At 39.4% G+C, this 27,400-nt stretch overlaps 1 protein-coding gene across 22 annotated transcripts in view; it reads right to left on the bottom strand.

Moving 5' to 3' along the window:
• PKHD1 (PKHD1 ciliary IPT domain containing fibrocystin/polyductin) overlaps positions 1–27,400 on the bottom strand; it is a 472,317-nt gene that overhangs the window by 380,060 nt on the left and 64,857 nt on the right. For 21 of the 22 annotated variants that reach the window (XR_001743469.2, XM_017010944.3, XM_017010945.3 and 18 more), the window contains 2 exons: positions 22,052–22,271; positions 14,951–15,101 (listed from right to left, as the gene is read on the bottom strand). Coding sequence is in view for 20 of the 22 variants with exons in the window: in XM_017010944.3 (XP_016866433.1) it covers positions 14,951–15,101; positions 22,052–22,271 (371 nt within the window). In the remaining 2 variants the exon portion in view is untranslated. Of the gene's footprint in view, positions 1–14,950; positions 15,102–22,051; positions 22,272–27,400 lie in introns of those variants that run through there. The other variant, XM_011514690.4, reaches the window with a different exon arrangement.

The raw sequence follows: 27,400 nt of genomic DNA on the forward strand, positions 1-27,400 counted from the left end.
ACACTCCTTAGTTTGGCACTCAAGATTGTACATGATGTTTTCCAACCTTTGTTTCTAGTAACTGCCTTCCTGGTTACTTTCTTTCAAACTTTACACTCCAGCCAAATAAAATCACTTAAACGTAAACCATGTTTTCCCATCTCTGGGACTCTGTAAGACTAGTCTCTTAGCTAGTAGACCTTTGTTCCTTATCTTCCCTTATCCACATCCTGGTAATCCTTTTAGGCCCTAATAAAATGCCACACTCTCTAGGGAGTTTCCAGGTAATTTTTCCACCCAGAAGATTTCTTTGCCTTCACTGATTTTCCATAACAAAATACACATATCTTTATTATCACATGATTATATTTTGCTTATAGCACAGTTAGTGAGTTTTTATATCTCCCCTATTAAATAGTACATTCTACGAGGTAGGAGTTGTATTTTATTTCTCTGTAGACTTAAAGCAACCTCCCAAAGTCCAAAGGGATGGACTAGTTCTAACATTCTAGATATTGAATGCATAATTTTATCTAGGCCCTTCATAACTTCATAGTTTTTGGTTGTCTCTCAAAACAATCATCTGAAAATCCCTGGGAGGGACTCAGACAATGCCTGGGACCCTCTGAGTGATCTGTAAATCATGTTTCAGAAGGATTAAAGAACGGCAATTTTTTTTTTTTTTTGAAATGGAGTCTCGCTCCGTCGCCCAGACTGGAGTGCAGTGGTGCAATCCTGGCTCACTGCAAGCTCCACCTCCTGGGTTCACACCATTCTCCTGCCTCAGCCTCCCAAGTAGCTGGGACTACAGGCGCCTGCCACGACGCCTGGCTTTTTTTTTTTTTTTTTTTTCAGTAGAGATGGGGTTTCACTGCATTGGCCAGGATAGTCTCGATCTCCTGACCTCATGATCCTCCCGCCTCAGCCTCCCAAAGTGCTGGGATTACAGGCATGAGCCACCGCTCCCAGTTGGGAAGTTTAATTAATGTTTGTATAGTATTTGGGGAGATGAATTATGAGAAACCGACACTGTAACAGACTATTTCTTTCCCTAGATTGCTCTTTTCTTTATTATTAGAGGAAGGTTCTCTTGCATAGAACTGAGTGATCAGCCATCCCCGTTGGGAGCTGGTACATCATAAAAATAGCTGCTGTCATTTTGAAACAGGAAGACGCACATCACAAAAGAAACACCTAACTGACTTTAAAGTCCTGCGGGCCACTGAAGATATGTGTGTTTTATGTAGTCATTATGCTTTCTCATTTGGTTGTTTGTTTGTTAAAAGCAGACATTCCTACTGAATTCTAAGGGAGACTTACCAAACTGTTTCCTTTTCATTTACCTGACTTATACAGAAAAGGTGACTTGTTTTCACCCCCTCAAAATCTCATGCAACAGCAAGGCCTTAAGTTAGCAAAAGGAGAAGTGAGGAGCATCAGAGGAAGTGGCCTTAGTGTAGCTATAAAGAGAAAAGCAAGGTCATTGAGGTCAAGTGTTTGCTGACGGCAATGTCCATTCTCCAGCTTTCCACTTATCAACAGCTTCAAGACTTACCTTCCAGGCATCACTGCTACCATATTTTTACCCAGGTATTTGGGATGGGATTAGCTCTATTCTATAAGTGCACAGTGATCACTCATTGGCCAAAACCAATCAACAAAGCCCATTACCCTGAGCAGAGGGAATTTTGCCCAATTAACTCAAGTTGGATCAATGAGTCATGAAGACATATTTGTTGGGGGGTTCTGGGGAAGAAATTTCCTTCTTCTGAACTGTGCTCATGAAAGACCCTTTCATTCCCATGTGATACGAATAGGAAAGCAAGTAGGCCTAGAAGCTACTGACAACCACATTGTGGCCACAGAGAAAGCAACCTTAGGTTGAATCTGACACTCTGCAAGGCAGGGAAGAGACATGGAAAGAGCCATCTCATTAGTGAGCCCTGAGCTGCTGGATCAAGCCATTCCTATGACTCCTTAGTTTTCCTGTGCTGTGAGCCAGTATAACATCTTTATCATCGGTTCTGTGAGCCAATATAGTCTCTTTATCAAATGATTTGAGTCATTTTTCCCTTGTGATTTAAGTCTTCATAACAAATTTTTTTAAGTAAAATTTAAAGAGAAAAAATGAAAGAGCATAAGTTTGGAAGCTATCTATAAACAGATTATAGAGAGCTATGGAAATGGATGTAAAATATATTCTTTATTTGAGGAAAGTTTCTTGATGCACAATATTCCAGTGTGTTTCTTAGAAGGAAATAAATAGAGACTTAGCACAGGCAGAAATGCCAAGAATAGTCATGTCTCCCCAGAAACTTCCACTGTTTGCAACAACATTACAAAGAAAGTGATTAATTTCTCAGTACTAGAAAATCCCACAGAGGATCTTCAGGGCATCAGGACTGCAGATGAGGGTGGAAACACATCACCGATGACATGGGAGGAGAGTGGGAGTCCAGAGGATGAAAAGAGGCTGAATGATATCAAATGTCCAGCCACCTTTCCTCACTAAGTCCCATCAGTCGTTTCTGCCTAATGGTTCCATCTCATAGCTTAACTTGTCATACTTGCCATCAAGAATGTAAATCCAGTTCTGATTCCCTGTAGACTCACAGAAAAACTAATTAAAGACACCATGTGGAATAGAGTGGGTCTGCCACAAGGCTGCAGAGCCACTTGTTAAAAATGGTGTCATCAGTTAAGTCTGGCTAGATTGCACGTGGCGATAAATAATCCCAAGTTTTCAGCGGAGCAATACAACAAAAGCTTATGTCTTGTTCACACAACATCCACTACAGATGTTGGCAAATCTCTTGGACAGAACAACTGTCCCCCATATGTTGAGGACGTATGTTCAGCCCACACTCTGGGCTATTTAGTCAACACAGAAAAAAAAAAAAGGCTAGAGATTTGAGCTCCAGAAATTCAGTGCTTCTACCCACATTCTATACAAGTCCTATGGCCCTATCAAACTTCAAAAGGCTGGGAAGGGAAGTGCTTCCTTGACCTCAAAATAAAGAACTGGATATTGGAGATCACTGTCACAGAGGGAATAACTGCAAAGCTGCTGCAAATTCTCTTAGGTAAAGGAGAAAAGGAGTCTAAAAAATCAACTAAGTATCCATTAATTTGAGGAGGTTACTAGCACTTAACTGGAAGTAAGGGAACTCTTCAAAATATTCCAAGTTATTCTGCATCTCCCATCAAAGGGAGAACCTGAGAAGACTAGTTTAGTAATTATAATATTCTAGAAAGGAGCTAGAGCTTTCTTTGTAAAACCTATAGAATCAAGGCATGCCTTTCCTGTTGTTTATTTGTTTGTTTTATTGTTTATTTTGTTTGGTTTTTTTCCCTTTTTTTAATGTATATACCCTTCAGGGTAGTTTATTCCCTCATTAAATGGCTACTTTTCTCTTTTATCCTCTAGAAAAAACACATTTCCTTTCTTCTGGTGTAGCTGAAATGATCCATTGGTGTGTATTTTATGGACAATATCTTCTCATCTGCACACTTTTCTGCTGATTTACATTTATGTTGGCTCCATGGAGAGATACAACCAGAAAGGGACTTTGTGGCATTGTTGGGATATCCACAACCCTGCCACTAGTCTACCATCAGCTAACTCCAGCCAAGGACAGCCAGGGGACTAGAAGAGGTGTTGCCTAACCCTCCTACCAGCAAAGCAATTCAAGAAGACAGTAACTAAAATAAGCTCTTAGAGGAGTTGTGCCTACACACCCTTATTTGACCTGCCCGAGGAGATTAGCTCAAAGCTGGAATGCACCAGTGGAAAAAGAACAGAAAGTGGAAAAAGCCTATGCCTGAAACTACCATTTTATAGAGTTAATGCAAGTTAACATCCACTCATACATACAGTAATACCATTAAGGTCATTTCTATCTCCAAGTAACAGCCTTTATCTAAAACCAGTTCAATATTCTTCATTCCTCCCAATGCTCCTGCCTCTCCCTTCTGGTTCCCCTTCTTTTCTCCTCTAACTCCCTGAGACACAGGAGTTTTTGTTTTTGTTTTTTTTCTGAGCTGATTTTCAATTCGATGAAGTCCGTTTCCATAACACTTTTAATATCTGAATAACCCATTCATCTTTACCCAAATTTCTTCACCTTCCAGGCTCCAGCTGCTCTGCGCTATCTGGTCAAGGTTCCCTACATTTCCTAATAAAGATGTGCATGTTAGGAGCAGTTACTGTGGCTCTTTAAAGTAAGAGCAGACTTCAGTGCTGTGGGAATAAAAGCAAGGTCTTTGGAGGGGAAGATTTATGGCTGAATCAACAAGAATTAAAAAGAGGACAACCCTGAGGAGAAAACCCAAGTTCTCCAAATTGACTGAATTGCCTTTTGTATCTCAAGGCTGAGATGATTATTTGTTTTTGCAAATAGAAATGCTATGTATATTAGACTCAAAACTGATAACATATTAGAGCTTTCAGCAAAATAAAAAATGTTTAACATGTCTAGTATAGAACCACATATCCAAACACTGATGAAATTCATATTACTCCTTACTCAACACAAATACACAACACATACCACAACCACCACCACTAACACACCACACCACATATACCACTGAAACCCATTCAACTACTATCTGAGACCCTTCATACCTGGGAAAGGAACCTACTCATAGTTGGGTGCCTTTAATTCTTCATCAGGCTTCAGGGAGATGGTAGTTTACTACTATGCATTCAAGAAATGGACCTGTGGAAAAGCAAGCTTTTCTCGCACATGAAGAATTAAATATACTGATAAAATAACATATTGACATATCACAGTTTTCACATTCTGTTACTAAGGACTTCCATAAAATCTTTCCATGTCGCTGGTCGAGAAATAGCAACTTGAGATTACAAAACTGAGTTATCCAGTCACCCAATGAGTCAGCAAGTAAACTAATTTGAACACTTCTGGTTCTTCAATTACCAAGCCTCACCTCCCCTGTAGAATCCAAAGAATCCCCATGTGAGGCCATTGTACCATCTATAGCAATTTCATAGCAAGCAGGCCTCTCTGCAGGATAGCTAAAGTTTCATATTTGGAAAGGCTCAGAAAAAAAATGTAAGCATTATACTCCTATAGTCAAAAACAAAAATCCCATGACATATGGTTTCATTGAGAAAATTACACACAGTATTTATTTAGAAAAAAATAATTTCAATTTATGAAGTTGTACTTTAGAAGGAAATAAATAATCATGTCACATTCCAATAGGACTACCTTTTGTCTGTCATTCATAGGGACATTTTCACAGGGCTAATAAAGCTCGCGGTTTTCCACTGAGCACAGAAACTGTTATTTTAAGATAAAAGTTAAGAGTAGTGTAGCTGAGATAATGCAAACTCCTATATGGTGATGTAATAATTACTCAGTGATATTATAATAAATTTAAACACATTGTAAAGAAAAATAAGGACTTTTGGGAGCCAAAATATGACAAACACTCATCAAAACCACAGCCTTATTTACTGATAACATATCTTGATATGAGAGGAGCAGGCTAATATCATAAACTCATTTGATACAAAGAGTCCCTGAGAAACAAAAGAGGCACAATTAACTTGTTCAGATGAGTTTAAGCTGCATTCAGGCTAATTTCCTGAATTCCCTCTTTTTTTCCAATTAGATATATTTTTATTTATGTGTTTGCAGAGTGTACAGTTTCAAACACACCAGGGGACTGTACCTAAATCATTTTTATAATATCATATTTAATGGGAAATTCAAAGTTGAATTATTTTAACATTGAATACAGAAACCCATTCATATGATTCTAAATACTTTTGGCATGAAATATAACTGTGTCATTGCTGAATAGTTAAAGGTAACAGTTTATTTCATATTATTAGATATAGCAGACCTGCCATTCCATTTCTATAAAATAAAAATGCATTATAATGTTTACATTGATTAATAATAATAACAATACATTAATAGTAGTAACAACATATTACCTAAAATCATTGGTAATAATGTCCTAGGGCAAGAAGATTGTACAAACCTAAGAACTAGATTTTCTTTCAAATCTTTCATCATACTCTTGAGAGAAAGACAGGGGAAAAGGCAAGAATTTCTTCCTTTTTTTTTTTTTTTGAGATGGAGTCTCACTTTGTCACCCAGGCTGGAGTACAGTGGTGCAATCTCAGCTCACTGCAAGCTCCGCCTCCCGGGTTCACGTCATTCTCCTGCCTCAGCCTCCTGGGTAGCTGGGACTACAGGCGCCCACCACCACACCCGGCTAATTTTTTTTGTATTTTTAGTAGAGACGGGGTTTCACCGTGTTAGCCAGGATGGTCTCGATCTCCTGACCTCGTGATCTGCCCACGTCGGCCTCCCAAAGTGCTGGGATTACAGGTGTGAGCCACCACGCCCAGCCTCCTTCTTTTTTAAAAAAAGAAAAAAACAGCAAGAAACAGAGGTATGCAAAGTCTTAAGTTCAAATAATTGACAAAGCCTCTTTCACACGGCAAGTTCTGATTATGACAACACCACCATAAACAATTATATAAATTGTGACACTTTAACTTGGCATAACAATTTACAGAGTACTCACAGACTGATTATCTTTCATAATTGTGTAGTCTCATTATGTATTTAACCAAAAATGATAATCCCTGGCACATTTCCAGGGCTGTCTATGAATGAGACACTGCGTTAAGTGCACTACATGCATTAATTAATTCTTACAACCCTACAAGGTAGGAATTAACAGACTCAGTGAAGTTAAGAAAATTTGCCCAAAGTTATATAACAAGTAAGTAGAAGGATCAGCCTCAAATCCAGTTTTATTTTAGAGTCCAAGCTCACAACTACTATATCATAATGCCATTGTTGAACTTTTAGGTTTCTCCTACTATTATACGTTTATAGGTACTGTCTTCCTCCCTCCAAAAGCTGGAAGTCAGCTAGTACCAATCAATTGAAAGGTTAAGTGAGTTGTTAAACAGTTGTAGTCAGACAGGGACATTGCTGGAATTAGAAGAGAGGCCCCAGGAGTCCTGTTCACTGTGCATCCTATTCTGACTAATTACCCTAAGAAGGCAAAGCCCTTTCAGATGTGAAACTGTCTGCCTTTCCAGCTTCTCCTCCCCCTGAAGTAGGTAATTCTCATACATTTGGAGCCTCATTTCAGGGAGAAAATACAGGCACAAGGGACTCAGTAAGTTTCCTCCAGGACAGCCAGGTCAGGGGTCAATGGTTGAGTTTCTATACCCCTTTTCCCTAATCTAATAACTAGCTCAACCCTGCTTTCTGCAGCACTTCTCTCTGCAGGCACACAACCCTGAAGATGCACACTAAGTGGGTCTAAAAGGAAAAAAAGAAAGAAGGGAGAGAAGGAGAAGACAAGGAGGGAAGGGGAGGGAAGACAAAAGGGACAAAATTGTTTTTTGATTTCTGTAATAGGAGAAACAAAATTAATTAGGGAATAAAAAGTATTTTCAAATTAGCCTCTAAATAGCTATGTATATTATAAAGAAAATATTAAATTTGTCACATAGCTGGATTGCATGAATTTCCTAGAAGAATCTCCTTAAACAAAAAGTGGGGATAAAAATAAGCAGTGTGGTTTGCCTTTTAAACAGTAATCCAGTACAGACATATATGCCTTCATCCATCCATTCATCAAAGAGGAATCCAATATGAAGCTCACTCTCAGAGAGTGTAATGTCTATTTGGGAGTTTAAATATTTAAATAAATACATGTAATTTAAATGTAAAAGAGATAAATTTCTTAAAACAAGTATAATTAAGAACTATGGAATTTCCCAAGAGAAAAAAAATTCTTCAACTTTAAGAAAAGGAGAATCTTCCTAAGGGAGATATGCATTGAAGAGTCTAAATGAATTTTAAAATATAAATATTTTGGAAAAAATTATGATGACTTAAACATTAGGGTTGTCTGAGAGCTATTTTGTAGTCACTAGAAAAACAGACGAGATGAGAAACCTGTGGAGTCTTGGTCTTGTCAAATCAAGTAACACACTTAAAGACCACAGCTTTAATCAAAGTACCTTTAACTTAAGAAAATGATCTCTAGTACTAATGATAGTGAGCTGTGAACATGAGGAAGGTGCTACTCAACCACAATATTTATCTGCATCTCCCCTTTCCCTTCCTACTTGTGATCTATACCAGTTGCCTGCATTTCCTTGATACTCATATACTCCTTAACCCCCCAAAATCTGGTTTTTCTCCCCACCAATATTGTCCTGTGGCCTCAAATGTCACTAAGGACCTCTTTATTGCGGTATGTTTTGATTAGTCTCAACACACATTCCTTCAAACTCTTCCTTCACCTGGATTCTATGACACTACCACAAGAATTTTCAAACATACTGTTATCAGGAGAACCTTTCTTTCATATAAGATCTTGCCTAGAACTTCAACTGATTACCATAGCTTTATAGTAAGATTTAAAATCAGACTGTAAGTCCTCCAATTTTGTTCCTTTTCAAGATAGTTTTGGCTATTTTAGATTATTGCATTTCCATAATTTTTTAATCAGACTGGAAATTTCTACCAAAAAAACCTATTGAGATGTTCTATTGAAATTGCATTGACTTAAATGTTAATTTGGAATAACTGACATATTAACATTATTGAGAACTCCAATAATGGTTCTCTTTATGTTTCTTCTGCTTTGGATTCATTAAGCTTCTTAGATCGGTGAATTTGTAGTTTTCACCAAATTTAGAAAATCTTTGCATATTTATTTATTTAGATTTATTTTATTTTCTATCCCTTCTACCTCTCTTTTCCTTCTGCTACTCCAATGACACAAATATTAGACTACTTTATATTGACTTAGAGATTACTATCTATCCATTTTTTCCCTTTTCTTTCTGTTCTTCAGTTTGGATAGCTTTGATTGTTTTGTCTACAAGTTCACTGATCTTGTCTTCTGCAAGGCCCAATCTAATATTATCTAGTGAAATTTTCAGTACAGATATTATTTCTTTCAATTCTATAATTTTTATTAATTTTTGAAATAGTTTTCATTTTCCTGCTGGAATTTCCTATAACTTCTCTTGTTGCATCTTTGTTTTCCTTTAAAACCTTTAATATGCTTATAACAGTTGTTTTAAAGTCCGTATCTAGTACGTTTCAACATCTCTATCATCCATAGGTCTGTTTTAGTTGATTGCATATTTTGCTTTTTTTCTCAGGTTCTTGATTGTATGCTGGACATTGTGGATGCCATGTTCTTGAAGGTGGAGATTTTTTTATCTTCCTTCCTTTAAAGGGTGTTGAGCTTTGCTCTAGCAGACAATTAATTTACTGAAATAACAGTTTAATTTTGTTAAGCCCTGTTTTCAGGATCCATTCAGTGGGTCTAGAGTAGCTTTACTCCAGAGCTAGAATATTTTATTCCTAAAGTGTGGCCTTTCTGAGGTCTCAACTCAATGCCCTGGTGTTGAGTGGGGTTTCTCCACTCTAATCAGTCAGCATTTGAAATCTTCTAGTACTGTGCTGTTCCAAAGTACTCCCAGTACCTTAGAGGCTATGTTCACTTCAAGCCTCCCAGTAGCTATAGCCTGCTAGACCTCACAGAAATATACTCACTACATGATTGGTTAACTATTTGGCAAAGGACTCAAGGGACCCCTGCAGACTTCTAGAGTTCCTTTTTTGCACAGCTCCCTCCTCTCTGGTATCCTTCCCTGCAAATTCCACCAATATTAGCAGCCCTAAACTCTAATCTCTGATTGGAAACTGAGAGCACAGAGAAATGGAACCCAAAAAGAGTTTTTTGGGTTTCCCTGAACTCAATCTCAGACAGAAAGCCACATTCCTTGACTATTGAGTGTGTTGCCTCTCCATTCCCTCTGCCATTTCCCTGCCCCAGTTATCTCTCACCTAGCTGAGATGCTTCTACCTCTCGTCGGTTTACCAATCAGTTCATCCATACCTCACTGCCAGATTAATGTGACTATAGCTCACCTTTGATCAGTCACTGACTCCTTGGGGATTACTTGTCACCTGCTGAATCAAAGGACCAAATGCTTAACTCTAGATCACAATCCAATCCTAGCCCACCTTTCCAAACCTACAACTCACCATTCCCCTTCACACACACCATGCTCCTTGCTATTCCTGTGGGTTCTAGCCTTGCTGCCTTGCGCATGCTGGTTCCCCCACCAGAAATGCCTTTCCTCTGCATGCTGAATACCTAAACCCTGTCCTTCATAGCATAGCACAAATGCCACTGGCGTTAATAGAGCTTAGTTGGCTGCCCCACCTGAAGATGACCTTTCCCAACTCCGAGCCCCTACTCTGTGAGAGGGGAAGAGCATGGCATACACAACACTTCCCAGAGTGAAGGCAGCAGGACAGATGCCAGCCCCAAGAGAAATTCTGGGAATAAAGAGTTCCACAGGCAAAGTTTAGGTAACAGTCCACACCACAGCACTCCCTAGAAATCCACATTATGTATTCACGTATTGAAGGATCGCAAAAGTCCTTTGGTAGGAAAACCTACGTAACTTTTTTTTTTAATTTGTTTTGGTTTAAACTTTTATTGCCAACCTTGAAAAGCAACATATTAACCAGTTATCTTGTGATAAGAGGACAACTTGCCATTTTTCTTAGAATCTAGTAGGCAGTCCTGCGGCCCTAAAGCATGTGGGAGTGGCTTTTTGCTCACTTGGCTGTACCCCTCAATGGGAGGAAGCAATGGAAAGAAACGTTTAGCTTACAAACACATCAGGACCTCAAATTAAGTTGTTGAGCCACTTGATATTCTTTAACAAAGTAAGTACTGATCTTATCAATCTTCCCACACTGCCTCACGCCCTCCCATCTAGGTCACTAAAAAATTATATATATATATATATTTTAGACGGAGTTTTGCTCTTGTCACCCAGGCTGGAGTGCAATGGTGCAATCTTAGCTTACTGCAACCTCCACCTCCTGGGTTCAAGCAATTCTCCTGCCTCAGCCTCCCAAGTTGCTGGGATTACAGGCACCACCACGCTGGGCTGATTTTTTGGTTTGTTTTTTGTTGTTGTTGTTGTTGTTGTTTGTTTGTTTGTTTGTTTTGAGATGGAGTCTTGCTCTGTCACCCAGGCTGGAGCACATTCGCAAAATCCTGGCTTGCTGCAACATCCGCCTCCAGGGTTCAAGCAATTCCCCTGTCTCAGCCTCCCAAGTAGCTGGGACTACAGGTACCCGCCACCATGCTCGGCTCATTTTTGTATTTTTAGTAGAGATGGGGTTTCACCATGTTGGCCAGGCTTGTCTCGAACTCCTGACCTCAGGTGATCCACCCACCTTGGCATCCCAAAGTGCTGGGATTACAGGCATGAGCCACCACACCTGGCTGAAAAATATATTTTTTTAATTTTTTATTTCCGTAGGTTTTGGGGGAACAGATGGCATTTGGTTACATGAGTAAGTTCTTTAGTGGTGATTTGTGAGATTTTGGTGCATCCATCACCGGAGCAGTATACACTGAACCCAATTTGTAGTATTTTATCCCTCACCCACCTCCCACCCTTTCCCCTGAGTCCCCAAAGTCCATTGTATCATTCTTATGCCTTTGCATCTTCATAGCTTAGCTCCCACTTATGAGTAAGAACATACGATATTTGGTTTACCATTCCTGAGTTACTTCACTTAGAATAATCGTCTCCAGTTCCATCCAGGTTGCTACAAATGCCATTAATTTGTTCCTTTTTATAGCTGAGTAGTATTCCATTATATATACATACCATAATTTCTTTATTGACTCGTTTCCTGATGGGCATTTGGGCTGGTTTCATGTTTTTACAATTGCGAATTGTGCTGCTATAAACATGCGTGTGCAAGTATCTTTTTTGTATAATAACTTCTTTTTCTCTGGCTAGATACCCAGTAATGGGATTGCTGGATCAAATGGTAGTCTACTTTTAGTTCTTTAAGGAATCTCCACACTGTTATCCATAGTGATTGTACTAGTTTACATTCCCACCAGCAGTGTAGAAATGTTTCCTTTTCTAGTGTTCCAAGGTTCCCACACAAGGAATTCTTGAATTTGGAACAGGGACCTGGATTGTAGTCCTGATTAAGCACTTGTTGGTGCTGGTCTTCCCCACGCCCAGATAACCATGCATCATAATACTGGTGGCATGTTTTTCCCAGGCCAAGGTAGGGAAATTGTACATCCCAACATGGGTAGGGTAACCATGTATCACATATGTATGACAAGTTGTTCTGTTCCCAAGCCCAGGTAGGGTAATCACACACCCCAACAAGGGTGACATACTATCCCAGCATAATCATTCATTGTGAACCTTGCACTCTCAAAAGCATCCTGGTTTGGGTGATAAATTACATAGTCACTTAGTTATAAGCCCTCCACCTATAGACTTCATTATATCCAGTTCCTAAATCAAACCAAACCACCCTAACAAGAGTAGAATCTAGAATTAACAATTTTCCCATTATACAGAATGTTGTTTTTCTGGACTCCAGGCCACTGTGTGCCAGCCATAGTTATTTCCTAACTTCCACCATATTGATCCAGTCGATGCGACAGGACGTGTGCCTGAGACTCTTGTTCTATTCTTTAGGGTCCCATTGGAGCTAAACGCAGCCATAAGTTCAGACTGAGTTTGCCATAAATCCCTGCCATTGTTCCCTCGTGTGCTTCTGGCTACTTGATAGGGCCCTGCTCCCAATAGACTGTTCGAAACTATGACATTATCACTAACACTTGAGTGTAACACATCACATCTGAAACCTACAATGATGGTACCCATCTCCTCTTTACCCCCTCAGGACTGGAGTTCCCTACACACTGGCACTAGACACATTCCTAGTTCCTAAAGATTAAATGGCTTACTTCCCCCACAATGACTATAGCCACATGGGTTATGAGGCCAGATAACTACCGGTGTGACCTTTATCAACCACCCCTCATTATGAATCTCAGTTAACTCATCTCTGAAATGAACTGGCCGGTCTGTATGGCATCCAACATTCCACCCAGCTGTGATGAATTGACTCTATGTACCCTTTTTTGAAACTTAACTACTTCCACATAAGGCCTCACTTCCCAAATATCTCTTAAAAGTGGGGTCTCTTTCCATATATTTTTTAAATCTCCTTCAGAACATGGTAGAGAACCTTGAACATGGTTGGAACTCAAATGTATGTCACATAAGGATTTTTAAATGAGTGAGGCATTTAAGCCTAAAAAAAATCAAAATTAGACTTTGAGATGATGGGAAATTAAATAAATCTAAGAAGTGAAATGATCTGGTCAAAGCAGCAAGCACTATAGAAAAATAAATTCATATCATTTTCTAGCACTATGACTAGTGAACTAGCACTGCCAATAATGGCTAACATTGGACATTTACCATGTGTGAGATGCAGCTCTCAGTGGCGCACACCAACCCTATGAAGTGGGAACTATTATTGACCCTACTTTACAGATGAGAAAACTGAAGTACAGAGGGTTTAAAGAACCTGCCTAAAGTCCCCCAAGAAGCAAGTGATGTATTCAAACCCGGGCAGTCTAGCTCCAAAGTCCATGCACTTAAACACTAGGTCAGCCTGCCTCTCCCTCTTTCACAAGCATTTGCACATCTAAGCATCCCAACAACACCAGGTTATTACGCACCCAGCAGAAACTGAGGCCCAGAGAGGCTTAAAGATCACCCAGTGTCACACAGCAGTCTCAGCGCACTACAATACACTTTTGAAATGTCACTGACAGCTGACTGCTGAGAAACAGGCGCAGAATAAAGTGGAAGTGCCACTGGGGGTCAGCGGCTCTGGAGAGAATTAAAATTGGTAGTAAATTGAAAGGAAGAGGTGTTTGTGGGGGACACGATGAAGCGAGAAGTGACAGCCCCAGGCTATCACCTGAAGGGAAGGTCAAGGTGAGGGAGAAGCCTGCAGAGGCCACAGAGTGGACAGTTGAGGACCCAGGAGCATGGAAAGGTAGGCACGGAACAGTTTAGTAAGGACAGAAAAAAAATGTTGTTTGCCATCGCATACATTTTCAGCACCAGTACAAAAGTTATAGAAGAACACACATTTTGAAGCCAGGAAGCTGACTTTTGGATTAGGACAGTTTGACTGCAGCAGCATTCACAAGAGAATCTGGTACGGCGAGTGCCACATAATAGGCACTCAATAAATGTTTGTTCCAAATAAAAGAGACAAAAAGAGAAAAATCTGAGAACTGCTTTCATAAAGAGAAAGGCACCTAAGGGAGTAGGTGCTCAATAAATATTATTTTTTATCTTTGTGCCGTGAGAAGCCTGGGGAGCTGTAAAAGATTATCTGATCCATTTCCAAAGAGCCCTGAGCCTCTGATTGCAATTCTCGCAAATTCCCGGGGAAGGCTGTGGAATTCCTCTCTGGAGACTTACAAACATGCTTTTAGAAGAGCCACTTGGAGGGAGTGGTTTAGACAATTTCAAAATGGGTGAATTGAGGCAGAGAGGCTAGACCGAATGACCCTGAGGTCCTTTTCGTTTCTGATGTCCACGTAATCCCCTCAGAAGCTGAAGTTTCCACTCTGCTCCCCCATGGCACAGAGATGAACCGAATGGACCTGCAGACATTGCTGTCCCGCCAAGCTGAGGACGGCTGAGTGATTTGGAAGCCTTCCAGTAGGATCTGGTTAAATCGTAGGCCATTTATTTTGTGAAGAAATAAACCACAGAGAGCCCCTTTCAAACATGCATACAGAAATCAGGACAAAATGCCAAGCAGATTATCTGCTCAGAATTTGCTTTGAAAGAGCCCGGGCAACACTCATTTATTTTTGAGAAAATATATGATTAACCAGAGTTAACTATGAATTCAGATATTGTGCATTAGACCAGCTTCTCAAAGTTTGAGCACATTTAATATTATATATCGCTGCCATTTGGACTAAATTGTTTTTTTAATGTACACAATATTACAAATTTAATTTGAGCTGTTTGAATCAGTCTGTAAAAAAGATTTGATTATACCTGAGTGTTCTGGCCCCAGCGTTTCCGTATCTCAGTAATCTTGACGGTAATTGGCTGATTGGGCGTCTCACACTCCATCTCTGCCTCAGTTTCCATGGTAATGTTACAGGAGCTATTATAGATGAGAACTTCATCTCTTTCCAATTTAGGGCTGAAACGAGAGGGGAGGTTAAATGGGGTGTCATCAATCTTAATGAAATGCAATTATTTTTACTCTTATTAATCATTGCAAGCCATTAGCTTGTGGCAACTACAGGCCACCATTTGTCAAATTTTGCAAATTTCTGTAATTTTGTTTCCATTCTTTTATTGTTTATTTGTTTTTCCTTTTATCTGCACACCCTGCAATGAAAATGCACCATGGTAAATATCTTTCACTGAGGCCTTTCTCTTTTCCGAATCTATTAAAAACATTAGCAAAAGCTACTCCTAGCCCAGCTTAACAAGAAATGCAGGGACAATACTTCCAGTTCCAAAAAGGGTAACAAACGTCTGGGAGAGTTTTTGTTTTTATTTTTTTTCTTTTCCCCTTCCCTCTTCCTGCTCTTACTCATACTTAGTGTTGGGGGAGTAATTGCCTGAATCCCCCTAGGGCAGATGGAGAAATTGGAAAACCCACACAACTGGCTAACTGGTCCCTAATTCCAACTGTGAAAAAATGAGCTCATTTAGGCTTGCAATTCCCCCTTCCCAGCTGATGGCAATGAGGCTCTGTTGCTAGCAGTGGAACATTAACTTAGTAAATTAATTAAACTTACTTAACAGCCCAGACTAAGGAGATTCAATATATGTGCCAGTTATACTACCAGCCACTCGCTTTAAAAGTCCTCTTGCTTTAAGGGGAGAAGCCAGACTGGATTTAAAATAAAAAACAGCAGTGTAGCATTACAGAAAGTCTAAAAATATGCCATCTAGAGGTGAGGACATGGATAGTGAAGGGTGTCATCCTCAACAGGTGTGATATTTATTCAAGAATCATCCTGGCTGTAGGCATTTTTGCAACTAACTCAAAAATTATCAGTAATAATAATGCATGATGTTTCATATTTGTCAACAATTTCACATGTATGATCTCATTTCAGCCTATAAATTAGGAAGAGGTGTAAAAAGTGTAACCCAAAGAGATCAAGAGATTCTCAGAAAGTCAAACACAGAACTACGGTAGCTCCGAGGTCAAAACCAGATGGTCCTGTTTCCCAGAGCAGTGCTCTCAAGTTTTGAAATGCTGATTGAACATCAGCCAGGAAGATGGCAGATCCCATGGGAAGACCAGGAAGGGTGGAGAGAAGGGCAAAAAGGTCACCACTTGAGAAACTGTACACCATGTCAAACCCTACCATCTTTTTTCAAATCAATGTCAAAATGTTTTCTTCCACAATTTTCTAGAAATAATGAGCAGGATAACTAGTACATCTCACCACTTAATCTTCGCTTCTTCATGCTAAAATATTCTCCACTCTGTATCTACCTAAGACATGACTTCCAAACCCACAGTCCTTTAGACCTAATAATGTAGACTGTCAATATGTTAACATCATGCCACCCATATCTGAACGCAGATTGTTTGGGCTGACCACTGGGACTCCGGTCTGCCTTTATCTGAGCCTCCTTCTCACGGTACCTGATACTGTGTTCATTTTGAAGGCCACCGTGCTTATACTTAGATAGTGGTCAATTCAAAGTCTCAGAGCTGCAGCTTTCTGAGGATTTCACCATGGTGTGTTTGTTCAAATGATTTTCTGAGGAGCACTGGCATGTAAAGCTTAGGCTCAGAAGCAGATCAGCTGGATCTGAATCCCGGGGCAGATGGTTACCATCTACATGACATTGAAGACATTACTTCACTAAGCTTTGGTTTCCACATTTATAAAATGGAGTTGCCAATAATCAAGTACCTATTTTGTGGAGGTGTTGAAGAAACTGAGCAAAATGAAGCATATAAATAGATTAGCATGGAACCTGGCACACAATACGAATCCAATAAAGGCAGCTCGCGTTATAGCTGTTGGAGGTAGTAGTTTTAGTAGCATTATTGTTAAAAATGTAAATGTGGAAATTTACATTTATTATTGTTACATATCTCTCACTGGTTTAGACCTGTTGCTCAAATTTGTTTTGAATCTGTAGCCTGCTATCTAGCTGTAAATCCATTCGCTGATCCTTCGTCCACAGGGCAGACAAAGTCACAGGATAAATCCATCCTTTGCTCCTGGAGCATCAGTCGTATTCCAAGATTCAGAAAGGAAAAGCAAAGTAATTTAACTTTTAAATTAAAATGCAATGTAATATTTAGATCAATACAGAAATGTGATGGAATCAAATGCAAAATTCACGCAGACTTTTAAAACACCTCACTTCAGAGCAACTTGAGGCTTGCATCAGGCCACTTTGGGCTTTGCACCTAGAACCTTTTTTTGTTACTGGGGGTGGAGAAGTGGTTGGAATAGTTTGTGAAGGTCTCCCGCTATGTTTATATCATAAGTCACTTATAAACCTATCAGAAAGGAAATGAAGTTGGTTTCCCACACCATCACATTCTTCGTAAATCGGTTTCCAGATGGCTACTTTCATTTCTGAAGGCTCACAAACTATCTGATGAATAGTTCATTCTAGAATTTTGTCAGGGATAACACCAAGCTTAGTTGTCTAAATTTCCAGAATTCCTCCTCTTTTTTTTAGGTTCATAGAATATCTGCCCATCACCTCTGTTATGTGACCCCTTCTCATGGTTCATTGCCAGCAATAGGTCCTCAATCATAAGAGTGAGTTTTTTGTACCCAGTTTATGAATGATCTGAGACTACAGACTTGAACTCAAGGAAAGTAGTGACCAACTTCCTTCTACATCCTTTCTTGGCCTTGGGCTTCCACTTGCCTCATAAACCTTCTTATGCCCTTTCCTGACTCTTCGCTGGCAGAGGTACAAGTAAAATGGGCTGAGTCACTCTACCCTCTGTTTGCCTGTTAGGAACACACTGTTTTCACTAAGCATGTTATTCTTGCTCTGAAGAGAATTAAACCCCTTTCTGTTAGCTTGGACTTTTTGTTTACCAGCTTCAGCTCACACTTTTTTCCATATTTGTAACTACCTTGCTAGAAATGTTTTTCATTAAAAAGCCATCACCAAAATTAGCTGAGACACCAGGATATCCAAAATAGGTTAACATTTACAAAATTTCAAAGCTTCTAAATAGCTAGCTACTCTTCCATGGTTTCTTCCACAATAATCCTATGAATTAAGAAGCACAGTTGGCCATATTTAAATATAAATATAAGCATATATATATGCAACATAAGCATATATAGACAGAGAGATCAATATATGTACAGATACAGATACAGATATACATGCATACACACTGCACACACACACACATATTTACTTTGGGGGATATGGTTTAAAATATTGGGTAAAAATGGTGGCAAAGATTGTTCTAGTATCTAAGACTCCTGACTCCCAAACTATTGTTCTTTAGTTGATCTGATTAGATCCTAAAGTAAGCAAGTAACCTTGGCTGTGCTCCTTAGGATAGGTAGGGAAAACAATTTGCAGGCATTTTCTCTCCCTCACTTCCCCTGAAGTTGCTTCCTGTGGCTCTGAAACCTCACTGAACCCACAAAGCTCAGCCAGGGCTCTCACACTGAAGCTGCCAGCACAGCATTGCACTAAGCACACTGCATCAGAAGCCTTGAGTTCCAGTCTCAACACTGCCATGGCTTGACTGTGTGACTTTGGGAAATTACTTAATCTTCACTTAGAAGAGAATCCAAACTCTTTACTTTGGCCTTCAATGCCTTACATATCTCTCCGAGCTCATCTGGGGCCACTTTTCCTCCTTCTCAGTCTACTCCCACCCTCCTAGCCTCTGAACAGTCATAAAACTCGACAGTTCTTTTGCATTTGCTGCTGCCACTGCCTCACCCTCCATAAAGACACCTGCTTCTCTTCGTAACATAAAAGACTTCTTCAGAGAAGCCTCCTCTGAGTACACTCTCTAAAGTAGCCCCCCTTTATTTTTCTATCACTTTATAGCACTTATCACAACACGTGATCATCCTGTTTATTATCTGACTTTCTTCTCTACCCTTAAGGGGCAGGGACTTTCATGACATCCACGAATGAGCCACCAGTACCTGTCACAACACCTAGAACAGAGTAGGGATGTGATCAATACTGGATAGATGGATGGATCATGGATGGATGGATGGATGGATGGATGGAGAGATGGATGGATGGATGAATATACTGGATAAACAGATGGATCATGGATGGATGGATGAATGGATGGGTGGATGGATGGATGAATACACTGGATAAATGGATGGATCATGGATGGATGAATGGATTGATGGATGGATGGATAGATGGATGGATGGATGAATATACTGGATAGATGGATGGATGGATGGATGGATGGATGGATGGATGGATGGATGGATGGATGGATGGATGGATGAATATACTGGATAGATGGATGGATCATGGATGGATGGATGGATGGATGGATGGATGGATGGACGGACGAATAGACAGGGTATAATTTTTGCCACAGATGCACTTCTCCCTTTGCCAAATGACATCAAACCCCATAGATGTTGTGGATGGCAGGGAGATACAGCATTGTGTTCCCTGGAAAAACACATAAAAACTCAATGAAGAAAATAAATATGGTCAGTACTCCAACCACCTAGAGATAGGCACCATCAACATTCTTGGATACATCTTTCCAGCCTTTTCTCTAGTAACCTATGTGTGTACAAACATATACACTATATACAACAGTAGGATCAAATTGATATACTCTTTTGAGACCTGTGATTTTCACTTCTCAATATATTATAAATATTTCCCTGTCTGGTTAAATATTCTACATCCTAATTTTTAAAGGTGACTTAGTATCATATCATTTGGATACATTCTTTATTACTAAAACTTGTTTCATTGCAAATTTTTTTTGATACCTGAAACTTCAAAGAACATGATTGTTATAAATATTACACATTTCTATCTACTTTCTTAAAATCCTAAAAGAGAAATTGCTGGGTCACAGAGTATAAAGAATTTAAGGTTATTCGTGAATCGGCAAATTGTCCTCTGACGATTGCATTACCTTACCTTCCCACTGGCAAAAAGACCGCTGCCAGTTTCCCCCACTCTCATCCCCATTAAACTTTGTTTGTTTAAATCATAGGGCACTTATTATAATTCTTACTCAAGAAAACATACCCACTTTTGGCCGAGTGCAGTGGCTCACGCCTGTAATCCCAGCACTTTGGGAGGCTGAGGTGGGCAGATCATGAGGTCAGGAGATCGAGACCATCCTGGCTAACACAGTGAAACCCCATCTCTACTAAAAATACAAAAAATTAGCCGGGCGTGGTGGTGAGCACCTGTAGTCCCAGCTACTCAGGAAGCTGAGGCAGGAGAATGGCTTGAACCCGGGAGGCAGAGCTTGCAGTGAACCGAGATCTTGCCACTGCACTCCAGCCTGGGCAACAGAGCAAGACTCAGTCTCAAAAAAAAAAGAAAAAAGAAAACATACCCACTTTTGCCTACTGCAATAGCCAGAACATTGAGCAGCACTATTGAAATGATATTCATAGGTAAAGCTATACTGTCAATGCGTTCTGAGGCTCAGTTGCTTCAGCCATCCCATACAATGAAGAGGAAGAGCATGGAAGAACCCCAAAGAAGAGTTTTGGGGATTCAGATGAAGTCCCTGAATTCAATGGAGCCAGGACCTACTGACATGTACTTCCTGGTGTCCAGCATCAGTAAGTTCTGAAATCCAGTCTCACCTGAGTACAATACCCAGCACTCCATTTCCTGTGTGAGCTAAACAGAGTTCTTCTTGCCCTTTTAGAAAGCAACCAGCCAAGGAGGTTCCTCTTTTCCTCCAGCTAAACCTAAACCTCTGGTGCCAAATTCACACTAAAACACAAACTGTCTCAGGACATCACAAAGTCAGATGCCATGAAAAGAGCTGGTTATCTCTTTCACCGTGGGGAAGTGGTCTTGTTTAGTTTCATATTTTATAAGAAAAGAGGCGGGGCACGGTGGCTCATGCCTATAATCCTAGCACTTTGGGAGACCAAGTCGGGTGGATTGCTTGAGCTCAGGAGTTTGAGACCAGCTTGGCCAACATGATGAAACCCTGTCTTTACTAAAAATACAAAAATTAGCTGGGCGTGGTGGTATATACCTGCAATCCCAGCTACTGGGGAGGCTGAGGCATGAGAGTACCTTGAACCTGGGAGGCAGAGGTTGCAATGAACCGAGATCATGCCATTGCACTCCAGCCTTGGCGACAGAACAAGACTCTGTCTCAAAAAAAAAAAAAAAAAAAGAAAAGAAAAAGAAAAGAGACCTTCATTAGATAATCAAAGGTAGCCACTCTATCTACGTAAGACATAAAGAAGTTTACATGACAATGTTCAGTCATGAGACACTGCCCTGTATAGGAAAGGAACTCCTTGCTGAAATGAAAGCAATCCAGAATTACTAGCATGGTCACACTTCTTTTTTATTTGTTTAGAAAAGGGGGGTTAACTTGGAAAGTTGTGGTGTTTATTTGTCAGCCTCTTTTTTAAGTTAAAAAAATGCTTATACGCTTATGGCTTCTAAATCCTAGATCTACAGTAATTCCGCCTATGCAACCCTCCTTCTTTTGAATAAACATTGTACAATCTGCTGGATTTCTCTATGGCTTTTTTTCATACTTGTGAATCTGTTTGGAAAGAAAAGAAAAAGGAAAGCGGGGAAAAAGCCTTCTGTTTTTCATAACGTCTAATCTTTTTCCCCATTGGCATTCACCAGATGTTGCTTTGGATCGGAAGATAAATATTAAAATCTAAGCAAGAACAAAGCGAGCTGTTTACTGGGCAGATTTTTCAGATGTTCTCTTAAACAGTTGAAAAAGACAGGAGATGCTTTGATATGCAGGCTGGCTGGAATCCACAATGGAATGGCCCCTCCAAGAGAGTTGTAGCCCTTACCACGGCTGCCAGGCCACATCCACCCAGCCTACACTCTCTGATGGCTCCATCGGTCCATTGGCCAAGCATTTGTGGGGAAGTTCAGGGAGGGAGAAGGTAAAGTTACCTGATAAAGAGGCCCGAGAATGATGGAAACATTGACTCTGCCCAATGATCTGGCACAAAGAGGCATTGGGAACTTTCCTCGCAAATGTAGAGGTAAGGCCACGATTCAAGCAGTTGCTCTGTCGCCATGGCAACTGTCAAATCACACTGCACATAGGTGTGTCTGGCAGCCTCACAGCTGTCCTCCTCACGCTTCAGGCCACACAGGAAGGCCAAGGACACTGCAGGAAACAGTCACCATTAGGAAAGAACCACAGAGAGAACCTAAGGCCTCTAGTCGGTTTCACAAATGAAGTTCCTGTGTCCTCCTTTGACCAATAGGAATATGAAGTTAGCAGTTTACTTTTTTTAAAATGTATTGTATATGTGTAATGTACACAGAAAAATACAAGTATCATTTTTGTAAAATATGAATAATCATCATAAAAAAAACTCAAGTGAATTTCCCAGCCAACATAAGATATAAAACACTTATAATACACTTAAATCTGTGTGTTTCTCCCCAAGTTCGTCCCTTTCCTCCTCATTCTCAGAAATAACCACTTGGCATTTTTTAAATAGTTTTATCACAAACATTTGTATTCCTAAACAAGAGATTGAGTTTTCCTTGTTTTTGAACTTTATAAAATATGATACATGATAAAATATTCTTGGGTCTGATTTTTTCATTCCATATTATATTTTCAAGATTTATCCACATTACTACATATAACTATTGTTAATACATTTTCACTGCTGTTCAATATTGTATTGCATGAAACTACCACAATAAATTTATCTATTCTCTTATCAATGAACTTTTTGGTATTTCCTAGCTTTTGCTACTAAAAACGTACAAAATTTCATCTAGGGTGCATGCCTATCAAGAAAATTTCTTATTCAAAGAGTAGGTACAAGTTCAGCTTTACAAGATAGTGCCATATTGTTTTCCAAAGTAGTTGTGCCATTTTGTATTCCTACCAGCCATATTTGTAAGTTCCCATTACTCCATATAATTACAAGCACTTGAAATTATCAGACTTTTAATTTTTGCCAATCAGGTGTGTAAAATGGCATTTCACTGTCGTCTTAATCTGCATTTCAATCATTACTTTTAGGTTGACCAATTATTATTATTATTATTATTTTTTGAGACAGAGTTTCGCTGTGTTGCCCAGGCTTGTGGCACAATTTCACCTCACTGCAACTTCCGCCTCCCGGGTTCAAGCAATTCCCCTGCCTCAGCCTCCTGAGTAGCTGGGACTACAGGTGCACACCACCACACCCCGGATGATCTTTTGTATTTTAGCAGAGAGAGGGTTTCACCATGTTGCCCAGGCTGATCTTGAATTCCTGAGCTCTGGCAATCCACCTGCCTCAGCCTCAAAAAGTGCTAGGATTACAGGCATGAGCCACCGTGCCTGGCCAAGTTGACCAACTTTTTTATGTTTGGTAACAACTCATGTTTTCTCTTCTGTGAAATTCCTGTTTCTCTCATTTGCCCATTTTTCTATTGGGTTGTTTGTCTTATTGACTTGGATAAGTTTATGAATTTCTTGATTTTCACATAATTATAAACATTAGCATGTTATAGAGATAAAAAGCAAGTATTTGAAGCATGCTGACTCTCAGGCCATTTTTTTCTGAGTCATGACCCACATATAAAAAGCATCATGAGGCAGACTGGGAATGATCTTTAACTAGAAGATGAACAAAGCTCCACATGAGATGGTTTAGGAGCAGCTCTGTCTGAAAACCTTAATAAAGAGGGAAAATTTAAAAAAATCTCTGTAGCCTGCTTCCTCTGCAGCAAGCCTGCCCATGTGGGTAATGCAACAGAGGTTATCAAGGGCCGTGGGCTTAGACCTGTGCTTCCCCGCCTCATTACAGTGCTGTGGCAAGGGTTACATGAGATAAGTACGTGGGGGAGGGTTTGTAGTTATGCAATCATGCCCAAATAGTACTATTGTTGCTGTTATATTCTAAAGCACCTGGCACCTAGGAGGTTGGCTGTGAATGTGTTTTGAATGAATTAGAGCAATAAAAATGACTGACAGTAGGACTCTTGTATGAACAGACAAAACATAAGAACTTTCCAGTTAGTAAGCCCTAAGGCAAATAAAAACAAGCTCCACACCTATAAAATAATGAATTCATTAAAGGTGATTAAGTAGATGCAAATTGACAAGCAGGATTATGAAAATCACCCAGGGCTGGGGATCAAAATCTATGGGTTTTACTCAAAGTTCTGCCACTAAATAGCTGCGTGACCTTAATCACTTTAGCTTTCCATGCCTTATGGAAAAGTTAAAGTTTCCATGAAAATGTCATGTGGTATAATTCAAGGTATAAATGCAAGAAAGCCAAAGATCAAAGATTTTGCTCATTTTAAACAAACACAAAGTATTAGTTTCACCTAACAGGATGTTTTGGCAACTCATTACAAGAAAAAGGAAATTTCTCCTATGGTTAGAAGTACAGTTTGTGGGGATGGTAAAAATGGGTGACCTCCAAAATAGCAAAAGCACATTTGTAGAGCCCCCTGCTTTAACTCCCCCTGCCCCACACATGTAAAGAAAACATATTAGTTCTGTGGCACAGGCATAAACAAAACAATAATTAAGAACGTTTGAGTTCAGGGTCATTATCTGTAACCTGGAATGTGAAACATCACTCTATGGTACAAAGTCAAACTGAAGAAAAAAACTCAAAGCACGGGTCAGAATTCAAAGCGACCTTGGTAAATGAGAGAAGTTAACAGAAATAAACAAAAGAACAAATGAAAAGAGTAAGACAGTAAACTACAAAAGAAAAAAAGAAATCATATAAATATGAGGAAAGTCCAGCTGTGCACAGCCATGGTAGAAATGCGTGCGTGCACACACACACCCCTTGGGATAACAGTAGGTAACAGAAAGCTTATTAACCAGCAAGACTGCAGTATAATTGTACAAACAAACATGGGATCAGACGATACACAGGCATCTTACGATGCTACCCAATTTGGCCAGAACTTGCTTGTATAGAACAGCTTCCTCATTTGGGGCTTCAAATTAGGAAAGAATATAGGATTTCAGAGAGGGCTGAAAAGTGAGATACTAAAATGTTTACTTGGAAAGTTTCTGATTCAGTAGGGCCCAAGAATTCACATTTCTAACAAGCTCCCGGGTGAGGCCCTTGCAGCTACTGCTCTGGGAAGCACACTTCCAGAACTGCTGCCATAGAGGAACTAAGAATACTCCACTTTCCAAAGAACCACCCGCTGATTAAGGTTGAAAAAATTAGAGTAGGGGAGCATCCATTAGGCAGAGGATGGATTTCTCTGAAAAGAGCAACTGCGAAACACTTGTAAGGGTTGCTGCTGGGAAATTCTCCCCTGAAAAATCTTTAAAAATACAAGTGATTTTTAGCTAACTTGGTTGTACTCAATCCTGTCTGAAAATGGAGAAATTAGTAGTAGTTTCTAGTAATGTCTAAGACCTATCCCCTTTGACATTTGATGTCCATTATAGACCTACTTCCTAGGGAAAAAAAAAAAATACACAGTCATACACTCAAAATGCTTCATCCAGTTTCAGCGGGTTAACAGAATCCCCAAATCCCATCTTGGATCTTAAGTAAGAAACCTCTGGAGTTGGCTCTCACAATTTCCTCTCAATCTTTAGACATTGTGATTGAAAGTCTTTTAAAAGACTTTTTTATGAAAGGAAAATTAGTTAAATTATGCATTCCTCTAGAGTAAATGTGTGCCTTGCACAATCAATGAGTGTTTGGTGACACCTAGTGGCCATATAAATAGTTACAGTTTCCAACTAATTTTCCTCTTTAAAAAATCATGGAATGTTGAGTTCTTTTCTAAATCTTTCTAAACACAATAATTATTTTATTATTCTTCCCCAAGAAGTTATAAAACTTAAAATATCACAACTTACCTGATCCTGAAACATCATTGATTTTTATCTTATACTAGTTGAAATTAAGTGTTTTGAAATAATAACACGGGGCTTTTAAAAGTATATTAATTTGAGCAGTGTATATATGAAAGCTTTTTTAAAAAATGTAGCAGTATTAGTTAAAAATTAGAGCCTATAAATGTGCAGTCTTAGCTTTCTGTTTATGCTATCTCTCATTTATTCCTCACCAAGCACTAATTTTGCACATACCCTCTGCAACACTGTTCCTAGCAGAGGAGGTAGAGCAGTGAATCAGACAATGTTTTGAACTTCAATCTTCTATTGTATCTTAAATTTCCCATTGTGGACTCTATCTCTCTTCCATAATGTGTTTATATACATGATGATAATAGGAAACTCAATTTCTAGCATTTTAACAAAAATTTTTTTCTCCTCCCCTTCTTCTTCCTCTTCCCTCTTCCCCCTCCTCCTTCCCCTCCTTCTCCTCTTTGTATAAGACAACACAGCACAAATTTCCATCACAATAGCATTATCCATCATTAAATTCTCATCCAAGCTCAGATGATGTGGTGCTTTTATCATTTTGTAAATCTTTAGCCCACATTCAAGTTGCAGACAAATAAATTAGGAATAAAACTTAAACACTACACAGAAAGGAGGTATGTAAACGGTTAAGTGCACAGGTACAAGATTTATGATTAGGCAAATAAGGTAATCACCTGGCTAAATGTGAGCTATCTCAAATGTAGTAAGGTCCTGTAGTAATAACAGTAATTTCTTCCTTTTGACTTTATTTCCTGAAGCTCAGTGGGGTATTACCATGTGTTGTGAATCCCCAAGCTTTGCAACTTACTCTCTCATCTCTTTCCCCACAAAGACACGGCTTCTCATACCACAATTTATATGATCACTACGCAGCTTAAAGTAGTGAGCAATTGTGGTGTTTTACTGAATAAGAAATAAGTAATTATGTGAGTATTGCAAAACAAGAAGACAACATGAGTGTTGGCTCTTTTGCCTATAATAAGAAACCGAAAACTGAACACACAAAGCTAATTTTCAAGTGATATCCAGCTTGAAAATCTCCATCCCTTTACTGGTACCTCCAATAAGCAGATGTCTTCAGCAACCTCACCTCAGAACAAAGCCAAGAGCTTGTTTCCTCCATGACTCCTATAGCTGTCATTGAAACTAATATTCAGAATTCAGAATTACTTCCTCTGTCATCCTAAGACTGCAGTTAAGAACACAGGTGATAAGTGTTTCAATATTCATCTAACATTGACATATTAATATGACAAAAGTTATGATGAATCATTTTAACAGGTGGCCTCAGATTCTAACTATCATTTTAGATGAGGAGTAGAGAAATTCTTTTCCTAGGCACACATAGAGAAATTAGTAGTCAGTACAGCATTAATCACAAAAATAGAATTAACCAAAGAATATCATTTCCA

This window comes from Homo sapiens, chromosome 6 (genome assembly GCF_000001405.40).
Source record: "Homo sapiens chromosome 6, GRCh38.p14 Primary Assembly".
Classification (NCBI taxonomy): domain Eukaryota; kingdom Metazoa; phylum Chordata; class Mammalia; order Primates; family Hominidae; genus Homo; species Homo sapiens.